The sequence below is a fragment of the Homo sapiens genome, chromosome 5, assembly GCF_000001405.40.
Source record: "Homo sapiens chromosome 5, GRCh38.p14 Primary Assembly".
Lineage (NCBI taxonomy): Eukaryota > Metazoa > Chordata > Mammalia > Primates > Hominidae > Homo > Homo sapiens.
The window spans coordinates 75,363,345-75,379,669 of record NC_000005.10 but is presented as its reverse complement, the minus strand read 5'-3'; the positions used below and the strand labels follow the sequence as shown (position 1 = coordinate 75,379,669).

The 16,325-nt window shown below is 39.4% G+C and overlaps 1 protein-coding gene and 1 pseudogene across 9 annotated transcripts in view, besides 1 other annotated feature; one reads left to right on the top strand and one right to left on the bottom strand.

The window, feature by feature from the left end:
• The window catches only part of CERT1 (ceramide transporter 1), a 143,496-nt gene extending 132,312 nt beyond the window's left edge, over positions 1-11,184 (top strand). For 2 of the 9 annotated variants that reach the window (NM_001379003.1, NM_001379002.1), the window contains 2 exons: positions 197-333; positions 11,012-11,184. In NM_001379003.1, coding sequence (NP_001365932.1) covers positions 197-324 — 128 coding nt within the window. In that variant the 3' untranslated portion in view covers positions 325-333; positions 11,012-11,184. Of the gene's footprint in view, positions 1-196; positions 1,896-5,478 lie in introns of those variants that run through there. The other 7 variants (NM_031361.3, NM_005713.3, XR_007058566.1 and 4 more) reach the window with 6 other exon arrangements.
• RPS26P26 (ribosomal protein S26 pseudogene 26) lies at positions 4,661-5,233 on the bottom strand (annotated as a pseudogene).
• Positions 12,478-12,787: an enhancer, noted in NCBI's record as "active region_22679". NCBI's record gives its function as "activates an Ori minimal core promoter by ATAC-STARR-seq in GM12878 lymphoblastoid cells {active_cell/tissue: GM12878}" and the evidence as "EXISTENCE:reporter gene assay evidence [ECO:0000049][PMID:35858748]".

Sequence of the window (16,325 nt, the reverse complement as noted above, 5' to 3'; positions counted from 1 at the left end):
AAGTTGCAGTGAGCCAAGATCGCGCCACTGCACTGCACCCTGGCAACAGAGCAAGACTCCGTCTCAAAAAGAAAAAAAAAAGATGCTAATTGGTCCAATGTGAGGAATATTTTAAAAACAAGGGAACAAATTAAGTGCTTCACATATGTTTGGAGAATTGTATCTTAATACATTTTAATTTTCCTTTATCTTGCAGTGAACCCTGGAGGATGGGCACCAGCCTCAGTGTTAAGGGCAGTGGCAAAGCGAGAGTATCCTAAATTTCTAAAACGTTTTACTTCTTACGTCCAAGAAAAAACTGCAGGAAAGCCTATTTTGTTCTAGTATTAACAGGTACTAGAAGATATGTTTTATCTTTTTTTAACTTTATTTGACTAATATGACTGTCAATACTAAAATTTAGTTGTTGAAAGTATTTACTATGTTTTTTGATGTTCCCCTATAGAGTATTGTTTCGTTGGTTTTTGTTGTTGTCGTTGTTGTTGTTTTAAACAGGGTCTTGCTCTGTTTCCTAAGCTGAAGTGCAATGACACCATCACGGCTCACTGCAACCTCAACCTCTGGCCTCAAACAATCCTCTCATCTCAGCCTTCCCAGTAGCTGGGAGTCCCCACAGGCATGTGCCACCATGCTCAGCTAATTTTTTATTTTTTGTAGAGATAGGGGTCTTGCTATGTTACCCAAGCTGGTCTTGAACTCCTGGCCTCAGACAATCCTCCTGCCTCAGCCTCCCAAAGTGCTGGGATTACAGACATGAGCCACCGTGCCTGGCCTTGAAAATTGTAGTTTATAGCCTTTAAAACTTAATTCTTTTATTGTTTCCTTTTTCTTCTAATGCTTATGTAAAGAAATTTTGATATTATAGAACTGTAGAATTGTAGAAGTGCAAACTTCCTGTATTCTTTCCTTTCCCAGAAACTGTTATTTTTGTTGTATATTCCTCCAGATTTTTCTGTGTATGTACTGACATATTTTTGAATGTTAAAATGTTTATACTTACTATTATACAAAATTCTTGTTTTATAACCTTTTTTTCACTTAACAATGTATCTTGACTATCTTTCTTTATAAGACATGAGATGTGTAAAACATCTCATTCTTTTAACATCTGTTACATGCATGTTGCAGAATTTATTAACTAGTCCCATGTTAATGTCTGAGTTGGTTCCATATTTTTACTGTCAACCAGTACAGCACTGAACACCTTTATGCAAAGAGGTAGAATCTTTAACTTTATTTTGGTGTTGTTGAGACAAAGTTTCTCTCTTGCTGCCCAGGCTGGAGTGCAGTGGTGCAATCTTGGCTCACTGCAACCTCTGCCTCCCAGGTTCAAGCGATTCTCCTGCCTCAGCCTCCCGAGTAGCTGGGATTACAGGCGTCCATCACCACGCCCAGCCTATTTTTGTATTTTTAGTAGAGGCAGGGTTTCACCATGTTGGCCAGGCTGGTCTCGAACTCCTTACCTCAGGTGACCTGCTCTCCTGGGCCTCCCAAAATGCTGGGTTTACAGGCGTGAGCCACTGCACTCAGCCCAAAATCTTTAACTTTTTAAAGTAAGTGATACGTTAACATGATTAAAAGCCAAAAGTGGCCAGGTGCAGTGGGTCACACCTGTAATCCCAACACTTTTTGGGAGACTGAGGTGGGAGAATGGCTTGAGGCCAGGAGTTCAAGTCTAGCCTGGATAACATAGCAAGATTCCATCTTGACAAAAAACAATTAGGCGTGGTGGTATACATGTATAGTCCTAGGTACTTGGGAGGCTGAAGCAGGAAGATCGCTTTGTCTGGGAGTTTGAGGCTGCAGTGAGCTGTGATTACACGACTGCACTCCAGCCTGGACAGGTAATGTCTGTCAAAAAATAAATAAATAAAGTCAAAAGTATGAAAAAGTTATACAGTAAAATTTACCCTGTCTTGCATTCACCATATAGTATTAACATATGCTATTACTAGTTTCTTCTAGAAAGTTTTTAATGCTTGAATGAACAAATACAAGTGTATTTTCTACACAGATACACTTTTTTTGTTGTTAAAGAAGCAGCAGCATACTATAAACACTGTTCAACATCTTATATTTGCATTTATTTTATCTTGAAGGTCTCACATATTTGTAAGGAGCTTCCTCATTTTGATGGTTATACAGTATCCCATTGTATAGATGTACATAATTTATTTAATCAGTTCTGCATTGGCGAATATTACAGTTTCCAATTTCTGCCAGAGCAGTGTCATAATTGTATCCATATGTCATTTTGTACTTGCAAGTTTATATGTGGGAAAATTAATAGATGTGGTACTACTGGCCCTGCTAGGGGTTTGTGCATAATTTAGATACTACTTTTCATAGAGGTTATAGTAATTGACCATCTCAACAGCAATAATGAATTGGAGTCCCTGTGTCCCACAGTTTTTCATACAACGTGTAAAACAAAACTTTATAACTTTCCCAACTCATTAGGTGAAAAATACTCTCTCAGTGTAGTTTTAATTGTATTCCTCTTCTTATGACTGAGTTTAAGCCTGCTTTAGTCCATTGAGAATCTTTTGTATAGTACTATTTCTATAAATTCTATTTTGTAATAACATTTAAAATATTAGTAGATATTGCCAATTGTGATACACAAATGGTAAGCAATAACATGAATATTCTCTCATTCTCACCTACACTGGATGTTAAATAATTGACTGAGAAATGTATATTCTTGAGTCCTTTTCTTTAGCTAAAAATAATAGTCAATTATATAATGAAATAATTTTAAACAAGTCTGATTTCTAATGATGTTTATAGTATGTCTTTCTTTTAAAAAATGCAAAAGCTAAATTTATTGTCCGATACTAACTAATATCCCATACTAACATAAGGGATATTGCATTGATGTCTCAGTTGTTTAGCTTTATCCCAGGAAAAAGGGTATTTGAAAATATTAAATAGGTTCCAGTCTTAGTTACCTGAATGATTGGTGTTTTGGAATATAGCCTTACCCTTTAGGGATTCTCTCTTCAAGCACAAGTGCACTGCATTCAGTGTGCTGACAATTTTTATATCTTGTACTTTAGAATTGTTATAGCTAGATCTGGACACATTACTTCTTATCGATTCTGAGTCTGTGCCATATTTATCAAATAAACCAGAAAACTGATGGCACGTGACAGCAACAGGCTTATCACCCTGCTTCGCTGTGTGTCTCTTTGCCATGGCCTCTAGGGTTTTTAAAGTGGTGCTGTTTCACTCTATCCAAGACCAGATTTTGTTTCACTCTAACTATATCTGCCTTCTCTCTTCTTCACTATGACCTCACTGAAACGGCCTCCCTCTTGATGCTTTATGATGACTTCCTTACCAAAGGTTCTCAGATATTCAACCAAGCAAGGCAGAAATACAACTTTGTATTAAAGCAAGAGAAATCTGAATGCAGTTGTGTGTAAAACATGCTCTCAATTATATTTGAGAAGAATAATTTTTTAAACAGTTGAAAGATAAATGGTAGGATATTAGCAGCATTTGCTTCTAGACTTGGATTTAGAGCGGTGTTTCATTGACTCTCTGTGTGTGTGCATGTGTATGTTCACAGATTTTTCATTTGTGGACCTGGGAGGGAGGAGCTTGGAATCTGAAAAAATTCATCTCTGGGGAAGAGAGGTCTATTGTTTGTGGGTACATGTATATGTGTGCAAAGATACAGCTGAAAAGATTCATTGGCCCAAACTCAGATTTGGCTTTTTGAGTCCAGATTGAGCTTCTTTCTAACAAAGATCCAAATTCAAACCTTAACATGGTAAAATCTTTGTTACTGTAACGTAACTTTTTTTTTTTTTTTACAATAATTATGGAAGATAAATGTATGAAGTCGAACCCAGCATTGAAACCCTAGGAAAGCGAACATTCTTAATTTTGGTGATGGAAAAAAATAGTAACATTCAATAATGTGTGTATCATCTTTAGAGAAAGTTCTGTAAAGAGTTAATAAGATCCAAAGTTGTTTAACAGTAAAAACTTTATATATATATTATATATAATATATATTTTTATTTATTTTATTTATTTATTTATTTATTTATTTATTTATTTATTTATTTATTTATTTTGAGACAGCATCTCACTCCTGTCGCCCAGGTTGGAGTACACTGGAGCGATCTCAGCTCACTGCAGCCTCAACTTCTCAAGCTCAGGTGTTCCTCCTACCTCCCTGGGTAGCTGGGACTATAGGCACACACCACCATGCCCGGCTAATTTTTTATACTTTTAGTAGAGTTGGGGTTTCACCATGTTTCCCAAGCTGGTCTCAAACTCCTGAGTTCAAGCAATCCGCCTGCCTCAACCTCCCAAAGTGCTGGGATTACAGGTGCGAGCCACCTAGCCCCGCCAGTAAAAACTTTTAAACTCATTTGACAAAGAGGTCTGAGCATGTTTGTTGATTAAATAAGGCAGGCCTCTCTCTCATAGCTTGAATACATTTTTTAAATTCTTGGTAAGTAGTATTGTATGTCATAATTTTTATTGCAGGCTAAGAGGAAAGAAATGCCATGTTGTGGAGTAAAAATCCAGAGACCTTTCACTGATTACCTCTGCTCACCTATATTGCCCTTTTTTTTTCAGGTGCCTGTGCCCCCTTTATTTTACACAACTATGCAAATTGTGAGGCCAAGGATGTGACTGCAAACAATTAAGATTTGATTTACATGAATAAGCTTTCTTCTCCATGAAAATACACTGTGTCACTTCACACTTGGTCTAACACACACACAAAATTCTCACCCTAGGTGGCACAGATACACTCAGCATGCAATATTAAGTACAATTTCCATTTTATTTTTCTCCAGAGAATAGTCCATCTTCAGTCTTTAAGGACTCAGCTCCTTACATGGGCTTTGGTGGGGGTCATGGGGCAGCACCCGCAGGTCTAAATTGGGGTGGAGGTGTTCGATCCTTCTCCTTCATGAGATCGATTCCTGACTACTTTGTTGTGAGTTGCACAACTCACACAGTAATATAGCTTCACATAACAGCTTGGGAAGCACATAGACATCAAAGACACTCGCTTCGGAAATGTCCCTGACTGCTGCGACCTTCACTGTGTTTCAAATGACGAATTTCTTAATGGCCTTGTCCTTGGGCACGCATCAGGCACGGTTCGTGCAGCAAACAGGCTGCACGTGGCTGTGGCCCTTTTTGGCACAACCATTGTTCCTTCTTTTCTTTGTCATCTTGGAGGCCTGGACTGTAGAGAGGACTGTTCCCGTTTTTTTTTCTAACTTTTGAAAAATTCCATATACCTTTGATTCCTTGCTGATGGAATAAGTTCAAATTTGTAAGGTTAATAATTTTGCATTCATAATGATAAATTTTAATAGAGATTCCATGCATTCCATGAATATGGAGGGTGGGAGAACTCTGTTCTGGTAGTCTTGCAGCTGTTCGTAGCAAACATACTGCTGAGTTTTTTACTTGTCTTTTTTTTTTTTTTTTTTCCTTCAGTGACTGAAGCAAGGCTGTGTGACATTCCATGTTGGAGAAAAAAAGAAAAAAAAAAGCTGAATGCTCTAAGCTGGAACGTAGGATCTATAGCCTTGTCTGTGGCCCAAGACCTTGGCCTTGTGTACAAAAATGACAAAATATTGCAATAGCAAAGCTGAACATCTAACACTAGCTATCTCTTGCTAGATCTCCTTGCTCAGCATATAACTATAAATACATGTAAAATTACATGTATATGGCTATATTTTTATTTGCTTGCTCCTAGAAGAGAAAAAAAAATCAACTTTGAATCACAACTAGGAATTGATGCTTTAATTTTTGGATACTTTTTCAGAATTTTTAATTTACTATGGTCCGGCCTAAGATCCTCTGTTGTATCAGGTTTTGTGCACAAAAGAAAAGCACAAAAGTTGAATGCACATGGGGCATGTGCTTTCTGTGCACCAAATATCTGGATGAGGTTCTTTTTTCAGGCCTACAGTCAAATCTGTGTCCAGAATTTTTTGACTTTTTTGCTTTGTATAATCATAGAATTCATTGCTGCTGATTTCTATAATGATTCATGTTGTCATGTGTCTCTTAATAACTGAGGGCTGTCAGTAACCTGTGATTTTGCCTTTTCTATAGTCTTACTCCCATGAAGAACCTTGGTTCTGATGGAGAAAGTGAAAAGCTTTATTTCTTCCCCTAGATATCTTTATATTTCTATTATATTTTTTAGTTGTGTACTGTGTACTAGAGATTTTTTTCAGTTTGTTATGAACACAATTTGGTAAGCCCTAAATTGGTTCTGCCTGTCTCCAAACAGAAACATCTGTACAAATCTTGTTGGTATAGACTACTTTCTGGAAAATGGTCAAGATAAGTTCATGTTTTCTTGAAATTTCTAAGATAGTATATGGTATCACTTGTTTAAAGCAAATCAGACTGAGTTTGACATTTAATTCAATATTTCTGGTATTCAGTAACGGGTATATATGTTTGTTCTTCCAGTTTGGGTCAGTTTAAAAGATATGTTGCAAAGTATACATAGAAAATGTGAGCAATGCCTCTCTTTGCCTTTTGATCAGAAACTTCAGCAGAGCGGTAAGGATTCCACATGATTTAAACTGAAATGCTTTTCTTTGTTGCTGTAAGAACTTAAAATGTAAAATACCTTTTTCAGTTTAAGTCCTGTAAACAACATTGAAGCATGGAGATGAGGCAAGGAATAGTACTCACTGAAGTTGAAATGACTGCCCACTTCAAAATCTTCATTGTGTTTACACACCAGTGTATTTATACAAATCAGAGGCATTTTGTAGATGCTTTGCTGACTTGTTCAGCTCTGTAAAAACACAGAAATCAGACCCATTTTGTAAAGCGGAAAATCATGTTACATGGAACATGTCCTGTATATATCACATACATGGTAATGGAGTCTTAATGATAAGTGCAAGATAATAATTTAATGATGGGATTAGTCTGATCGCTTAATATGCACAATCCTGGAAGTGAATTACTTGCATCAGATATAGTGATATTTATTATTCTGTACAGAGAGAAAAATACATATAAAACATATGCTTACATTACATGCACGCGGATTTCATGCTCCATAATCTTTTCTATTTTTTAATTTACCTTTCTGTAAATGATGTGCATGGAATATGCCTTATAGAAAAATGCTGTTCATAATTTGACTACGTGGAAAAGTGCCTATATGGTGGTAATGCTAGTAAGGCAAATAAGACAAATTATCATGTTGGTTTACTACATCACCAGTTAACATTTTATATTGTGATGTTTAAAAAAGAAAAATTTATACCTCAAATGTGTATTTTATTTTACAATCAGCTGTGGGGTATGGGGTTGGGATGGGAGAATGGGGGGGTTGGGGAGGGCAGGTTTATTCACCATAGCCGCTGATAAGAATCTTCAAAAAAATTCTATATGCGCACTATAAATGTTTCTCTGTTTGCCATTTCTGGTAACTATCATGAACACAGACAGTTAACTCTTTCATAACTGAATTGGATAGCTTTATTTTACAGAAGTATGGCAAGTTTACAAAGCAATATCTAAATCTAATTATCATTAGTTGCATTTGGACTAAATGTGATGATATACTTTTGCAATTGATTCTGTAAATAAAAGGATTACACTAAAATATTTGTATTAAAAGAAGAAAAGATAACATTTTACCTTTAGATAACTGCACTTGTACCTCACTAGAGTTAATCCCACCCAATCAGATTGAGAAATAAATTGGGGAATGTGGAAAGAGTCCAAAAGAGGTCAGAATTTGGAGAGGTACTGGCCTTCTGGACAACATTTAGACCCTCTACAATTATTTTCATTAAGCTGATTCCTACATCCTGAATATTCATGTTTTCTCATCTACAGATATTTGTCTTCCCCCAAACTAAAAGAAAAAAAACTACCCTTTACTCTCTTTTCTACTCAGTTACTCTTTTGTGCTATGTTAGAAACTTGAAATATATTGGTGATGTGGGGATTTTGTCCCTGACTGCCCACTGTACAGGACAAGAGAGTACAGTGTTTCAGTTGGAATTCAGGACTCCTGGTTTTGAGGTAGAGGATGATCACTGCAGTACTTGGTTTGGAATTGCCACAGGGGTAGCTAAACCAAAGGAGGGTTATATCTGCAAGGGAGGTGTAAGAAGGCAAAATAAGGAAAAGGAGGAATGGGTTTTCTATTTGTTCAGTTTCATCAACTAATTTATACACTTAATACAACTTCAGTGTCAATTGCTATTAAGAAATTTTTAGTTGGGCTGAGCTGGTTCTCTTGTGAAATTGTGCTGGTTATCTTTAAGCTTATCAGTTATTTGTCCAATTAAACACTTTTCACCAGTATTTAGTCCGAGTTGTACAGACGATGTATTTGGATTTTGTCATGGTTCATCTACAGACTCAAAACATAATCATTTTAAAGTACCTTGGGAGTGTGTAGAGTAACTTCTATAATAGCTTTATGATCCTGATGATGTTTTTTAAACACAATAAAGTTGGATCTTCCATGTTACAATCACAGAATTAAAACCAGTATTTAAAGTGGAAAAGTATTAAAATATTATGGACAAATATGCTGGCTTGATTTGTTTTCCTTAACCCTGAGATATTGCCCTACTCTGAATAGTTAAGAGCTTGAAATTCAGTGTTCTTCCCGTAACCCAGTTAGGGATCAAGAAAACTACTGAGTTGCAGCCTAAATTTTTTTTTTTTTTTTTTTTTTTGGAGACAGAGTCTTGCTTTGTCACCCAGGCTGGAGTGCAGTGGTGGGATCTTGGCTCACTGCAACCTCCACTTCCCAGGTTCAAGTGATTCTTGTGCCTCAGCCTCCTGAGTGGCTGGGATTACAGGCATGAGGCACTATGCCCGGCTAATTTTTGTATTTTTAGTAGAGACAGGGTTTCGCCATGTTGGCCAGGTTGGTCTCAAACTCCTGACCTCAGATGATCCACCCACCTGGGCCTCCCAAAGTGCTGGGATTACAGGCCTCAGCCATCGCGCCCAGCTCAGTTTTTTTTTTAACAAAATATAACAGGAGGAATATATCAAGTACATGACATGTAATAAATATTTTGTGTATCTTTTGTCATATGTATTACACATACGTGTGTAATGGGTTACAGTTTACAATGAATTTCTTACTGTGGATCACATCCAGAAGTTTTAAAAGATTGGTAGAGAAGCCATATTCACTTGGGTGTTTCTAAAATGGAAGCACAGTGCTGGTGAATGATACACACTTATTTTGTAATTGAGCTGTATGCATTTAATCATAAATAAATAATCTCATTTATTTAAATCTCGTTTAATCTCAGCTCCACTTGTTGCACTCAGGTAATTTATGCCCTAGAACAACCATGAAATGGGAAGTGTGGACTTCCATTTCACTCAGTCAGTGGATTCATATTGAAAGGCACTGAGCATATTTCTCTCCTAGTGTTCAAAGATACATGCCATCCAAACAATGTGATCTGTAAACAAAAGCCAACTACTTAATCTGGTGGGATGCTGGAGGGAAAATCTGACTTGTGTTGAATTTGATGACAGAGAAATATTATGTGGTCCTCATTCCTAGAGGGATTTTCTAGGGCACTTTTAACTGTGCAGTTTTTCTTTAGACTTGACTTTGGCATATAACCTGCAAATAAGGTGTAGTTCTAACTAGCAGTTTCAAATGAGGTTGCTTTTATAGGATCTTCCAGATTTTCTTGCCATTATTCGAACTTGGTTACAACAGAGTTCATACTATCATTTATATTGTCTACCTTTTAAGACACATTTTCTGTGAACGTTCCACATCTGTATACTTTGAATAGCCTTGCACAAATACCATAAGTGAAGCTACTTTATTTGGCCTCTTCATTCTCTCTTCCTATAGAATTCTGTGAGGTTAGTACTAGAACAAATCTTTAAGATCTCTGAAGTTATTAGAAGATGCCAAACCAGGATTTTCCTGTCACCCAGGCTCTGTGGTTGATGAGGTGGTGTGTGAGGGTATCTCCGCCGTGTCTGTACCGGCACTATGCCTTTTCTGACTCCTCCCCACTCAACAGTCCTGTGGAGGTGGTAGCGGTGATTGGTGGTACCACCCCTGTTTTACAGATGAGGGAACAGGTTGGGGTTACAAACCTACTGATTCCCTGACTCTTAAGTTTTTTTTTTTCCCATTAGACTCTACTTTTTAATGCCTATGTGTAATATCTAGAATATAGTGTTTGATGGACTAGAAAGAGCTAACATGCTTGAAGACTAGCAATTTTGGTGTATGGGTCTTAGTCCCACACTTCAATATTGGCTTCACAAAATTCCAAATACACATGGTTCCTTAACAATGGTTCGATTTATGATTGTTCGACTTTATGCAAAGCACTACAAATACAGTACACTCCAACTTACCATGGGGCTGCGTTCCGATAAACCAGTCATATATGGAAAATACCGTAAGTCAAAAGTACATTTTCAGCCGGGGGCAGCGGCTCACACCTGTAATCCCAGCACTTTGGAAGACTGAGGCGGGTGGATTGCCTGAGGTCAGGAGTTGAAGACCAGCCTGTCTAACATGGTGAAACCCCTTGTCTCTACTAAAAATAAAAAAGTTAGCTGGGTGTGGTGGCATGCACCTGTAATCCCCAGCTACTCAGGAGGCTGAGTCAGGAGAATTGCTTGATCCCGGGAGGTGGAAGTTGCAGTGAGCTGAGATTACACCACTGCACTCCAGCCTGGGTGATACAGCAAGACTCTGTCTCCAAAAAAAAAAAAGTTTTCAACTTACGTTATTTTCAACTTGCAGTGGGCTTATCAGCACATAGCCACATCATAAATGGAGGTGCTTCTGTCAAAAGTACATTATTGTTTTATTTTCAACTTACAGTGGGGCTTATCAGTATGTAGCCCCATCATAAGTCAAGGGGCTTTTATAACGATGTGTCTTACAAAATCCCACCAGATACAGAAAGGAGGGCAGTAAAGATGAAATTTGATCACAATTAGGTGCTTAAACTTTCTTCCTGTCCTCCAGCTCAGAGGATGAAACAGGAAACTGAGTCATAAAACACTACTACAAACAAGCCCAAGGATTTTATCCCAGATTTTCAACCCAAGGATGAGCTGCAATATAACTATCACTGTTTTGTTGGCTGCCTGCCACAGAATGACCACTGAGGAAATAAAGCGAGCTTTGGATTCACTGCAGCTTGGTTTACTGTGGTTCTTTTCTGTATTACCGTTGTTAGGATTGGGAGGTTTAAGTGGTAACTGGGTCCAGCAGCAGGGAATCTGCGTGCAGCAGCTAAATCAAGGTTTAGTCAATGTCCAAAACACTTTAGCAAATTGGATATCAGTAATTCCCCAGCACCCTAAAACAGTTCCCAGAGCAAGTATTTATTGAGCTCCTACTACATGCCATGAAGGATTGGAGATAAACGATAACCAGCATATAGCCTTCATTGTTGTCATAACCAGGCTTTTAAGAAATGTATCCAAAGTTAAAGGAAATAGGCTGGCCCGGGCGCGGTGGCTCACACCTGTAATCCCAGCACTTTGGTAGGCCGAGGCAGGTGGATCACGAGGTCAGGAGTTCGAGACCAGCCTGGCCAACATTGTGAAACCCCGTCTCTACTAAAAATACAAAAATTAGCTGGGTGTGGTGGCGGGCACCTGTAATCCCAGCTACTCGGGAGGCTGAGGCAGGAGAATCATTTGAACCCGGGAGGCAGAGGTTACAATGAGCCAAGATTGCACCATTGTACTCCAGCCTGGGCGACAGGGCAAGACTCCATCTTAAAAAAAAAAAAAAAAAAAAAAAGGATTTGAGATCAGAAGCATTTGAATAAGGTACATTGAACAATAGATTTAGCCACATTTGAGATGTACAAAAGTGTTTTTAATTCTTGGTTCTCAGTTCTCAAAAGATAGATAGGAAATAGGTTGTTGCTGTGTTTTAAGTTTACCAACCTCTGTACATTGATAGCACCACATTAATGGTATTCATTTTAATTTAAAACTACAATTTATAGTCTGTGACTCACTTTTCATTCCCAGCATCCAGTAGGTTTTTGTTGTTGTTATTTCTAAGTAAATTTCCAAGTTCCTGGTTACCATGTGTTAAACATACTGAGAAAGAATGAGACTTAGAAGTCAGAAGACCAGAGGTTCTCTTGCTCTCTCACTTGAACAGCTTTTATCTTGGGCAAATCATTTTAATGTGTCTAAGTCTATTTTAATCTATAAAATTATACAAAGCCACCTACTATGGCTACATCACAGGGTGGTTTGGGGAAGAGCAAGATAATGTATTTTAGTGCTTTAAAAACTTTAAAGTACTATGCAAATACTAAGGAATACTAAGGCAACTACAAATATGTGCTAGGTGCTGGGTTTTGAATGGTAGAGATAGGAAGATGAGCAAGAGACAGGAATAATGACAAGTTGCAAACATTTGGAGGCTTTGAGCAGAACTGTAAGTTACTTGGCTTGTCTGGGGTTTAGTCTACCTCCAGGACATAACCAGTAAGGGAGAAGACTAGGGGGAGAGGCACAGGCAGTTGGTAGAAAACCTTGAAGTGTGTAAAGTTTGATCTTTGTTCTGCCAGCAATGGGAGACACCGAGGGACTTTTTGGAGCATTATTATTGTACACGTTTTAGAAATATCTGTGGGTCTTGCCACCTGGTTTCGTTTGAATAGGGAATAAGTCAAATGGTTTTGGTTTTGTTTTTTGATACAGAGTCTCGCTGTGTCATCCAGGCTGGAGTGCAGTGGTGCGATAGCTCACTGCAACCTCCGCCTCCCGGGTTCAAGTGGTTCTCATGCCTCAGCCTCCCGAGTAGCTGGGATTAAAGGCATGCACCACCACGCCAGACTAATTTTTATGTTTTTAGTAGAGATGGGGGTTTCTCCATGTTGACCAGGCTGGTCTTGAACTCCTGGCCTCAAGTGATCTGCCCACCTCAGCCTCCCAAAATCCTGGGATTACGCCATAAGCCTGATGGTGGTGGTGGTGGTGTTTTGTTGGGTTTTTTTTTGTTTTGAGATGGAGTTCTGCTCTTGTCCAGGCTGGAGTGCAATGGCGCAATCTCGGCTCACTGCAACGTCTGCCTCCTGGGTTCAAGCGATTCTCCTGCCTTAGCCTCCCGAGTAGCTGGGATTACAGGCATGTGCCACCGCGCCTGTCTAATTTTGTATTTTTAGTAGAGATGGGGTTTCACCATGTTGGTCAGGCTCATCTCGAACTCCCAACCTCAGATGATCTGCCCACCTCGGCCTTCCAAAGTGCTGGGATTACAGGCGTGAGCCACTGCACCCCCTCAACTGTTATTCAGTTCTATAATATGTCCTTTTCCTTTGTATTTGGATTATATAACTACTATGATATTGCTTGTTGTATTAGTCTAGAAGCTCTACTAATAAGCTAGGCTGTAGCTTATCAGCTCAACTGACCAGTAGAACACAAGGCCCCACCTAAAGTCAGAGAGCAGTTTCAATGGAGTGTATGTTTAAGGTGGCAAAAAAGTGAAAAAAAAAATATGGATAGGTTGTGAATAGCAGTAAATGAACCTGGAGGGGCAGAAGAGTTTTTAACTTCAATGAGAAGGTGCAAGGATGAGATCCAGGAAAAGGAACACCATTATCTTCTTTTCCCCTAGGACTTAAGCTTTATAAAGAGATGCCAGCTCTCCCAGCCAGAGATAGTGGCAGATAAGCAAGGGGTCAAAAGAAATGCAGGGCAGCCCACAGTAGGTCTGGGCTGCAAAGGGTTATGGCTAGTTAGCTGCAACTGCTGAGGAGAGACGATGAAAACAAAGATTGACTGAGTCACCTCTGCTGACAATCCCTGTGGTGCTCTGTGGAAGGTACTAGGCTGTTCTCTAAAGTATCAATACACATGAGATTCATATCATCCACTACAAAAATATACATGTTTCCATCTTTGGATGATAAACTGATTCTGTGTTTATATGAGGACACAATAAATACAGCATTTCATAGACTACGTAGAGCTAGATACCTCCTTAGAAGCCAGCGAATCCAACTGTCATTTCACAAGGAAACTGAAGACGAGATAGGAAGTGAATAGCGTAAGGTCTCACAGCTAGTCAGTGCCATAGCAAGGACTGGAATGGAAGTCTCTGGATTTCCAGCTCCCTCAACACTGCCTTCCTCTGTTGTGACTGTTTTCTGTTTGGCATAAGTGTGGAGTATATTAATTTATTGCCTCGGCCATTCAACAAACTTAGACCTTTAATGTAAGGCACTTGTTTAAGGTAACAAGAAAAGACATAGTCCCTGCCTTCCAGAGACCTCAGTCTGGAAAAAATGGGGGCAAGATTTATCTCTGCAGTACAGAATAAAAAATCTTTGGCTTTTATTTTTATATATTTTTTATCATTTAATTTTTTGTTTGATAATGTATATAATTCAATATAATTTATCAAGAAATATTAACAGCCTGGCCAACATGGTGAGACCCTGTCTCTACTAAAAATATAAAAATTAGCCATGCACGGTGGTGCATGTCTGTAATCCCAGCTACTTGGGAGGCTTGAGGTAGGAGAATCACTTGAACCTGGGAGACGGAGGTTGCAGTGAGCTAAGATTGCGTCACTGCACTCCAGCCTGGGCAACAGAGTGAGACTGTCTCAAAAAACAAAATTATTGGAGGTGCGTGTCCAGAACTTTTTCTGATGGGGTGTTCAAGGTTTGAGTTCTACTGGCATAGTTAAATGCTGTCCTGAGCAAGTTAAAGATGGCTTTTCCCCCAATAACTTTCCATTTAAAATTACCATTCTCTTGGCTATACCAGCAAGCTTCAGTTATTTAACTGTTGTACAGTTGAATAAGGTACTGGTCCATGTCCTGTTAGGAAGCAGGCTGCACAGCAGGAGGTGAGCAGCAGGAGAGCGAGCATTAGGCTGAGCTCTGCCTCCTGTCAGATCAGCAGCAGCATTAAATTCTCATAGGAGCAAGAACCATATTGTGAACTGCGCATGTGAGGGATTTAGTTGCACTCATGAGAATCTAATGCCTGACCTGAGGTGGAACTGTTTCATCCCAAAATCATCCTCCCAACCCCACCCCATCTGTAGAAAAATTGTCTTCCATGAAACCGATCACTAGTGCCAAAAAAAGGTTTGGGACCACTGGGTAAAAGCATCCAGGTGTGTTGAAAGAGGATTGGCCTGAGGTAGGCGAGCTCTCCATACAGATCTGAGTACCTTTTGTTATTAGAGGATGGAGTTTTAAGAACGAGAGCTCACAGGTTATGTCTTAGATCAGAAAGGACTGAGGAAGTGCACCAAAGCTTGATTTCATTGTAAGAGCCCTTTGAGGTTATAGCCCAAGTCTAGACAGTGAAATGGGCAGGAAGGTAGAGGCTCCTCTGTTAATTCCTTCGTGAGCTTCAGGGCTACAGGAGAACATCACACATCACGCAGGGCTAATACTCTATTTGCTTTATTGTGTCCAAGGATTCTACTGAGTACAATCCCAGCTGATTTTAGAGTGGAGACAGAATTGCCCCAACTGCAACCCCCCCACCTCCACTCCAGCCCACTTCAAATTTGCAAGTGACATGAAAGCAAAGGACTTCCATAATCAACACAGGGTAGATGACCATAGCCCTTCTAGTTTGGATTACTTCCCGATGCTTTCCTTCCAACACACACACACACAGACACACACACACACACACACACACACACCCCGTATGCTTAGTTAGCTGGCGCGCACACACATACACACCTTGTATGCTTAGCAGCTGGCACAAGGCCCTCCTACTTTTATGCTCCCTGCCAACTGGCTTCAGAATTAGCCAACTGGAATGCTGTTGCCTGGGTCTAATCCTGCTCCAGCACTACAATCCTGGGACATTAAAGTTCAAAGGAGTCAAACTTCATAGGGCAGGTGGGGTGAGGATGGGGAGTGGACAGTGATACATACCCTTAACAGGAGCTCAATTTTTCCCCCTATTTGGCCCTTTGCAGCAGAGTGCAGGGAACAAACAGGAGGGTAAACGGAATAGGTGATGGCAAATGCCTCTCTCTGGGGCAGTCACTCCACAGGTTGAAGAGATGGAGAAGACCTTCAGTGTTGTTCTGGGACAGGAGGGGGGCGTGTGAGGAGCACCAAATTCAAATAACATTTTCTAGTTAGTTATTACATCTCTCGGGTTAATTCCAATTAAATTTTTATTAGCCAACACTCGGTCTCTCCCCAGGTGTTTCCCAACCTTGTGCTACTGAATAAACAGTTTTGTAAAACCATTCATTCAAGCCCCACCAGGCACCTCATACTGAAATTCCAACCTATTAGTGCAGCAGCAGCAGCAACTGTTAA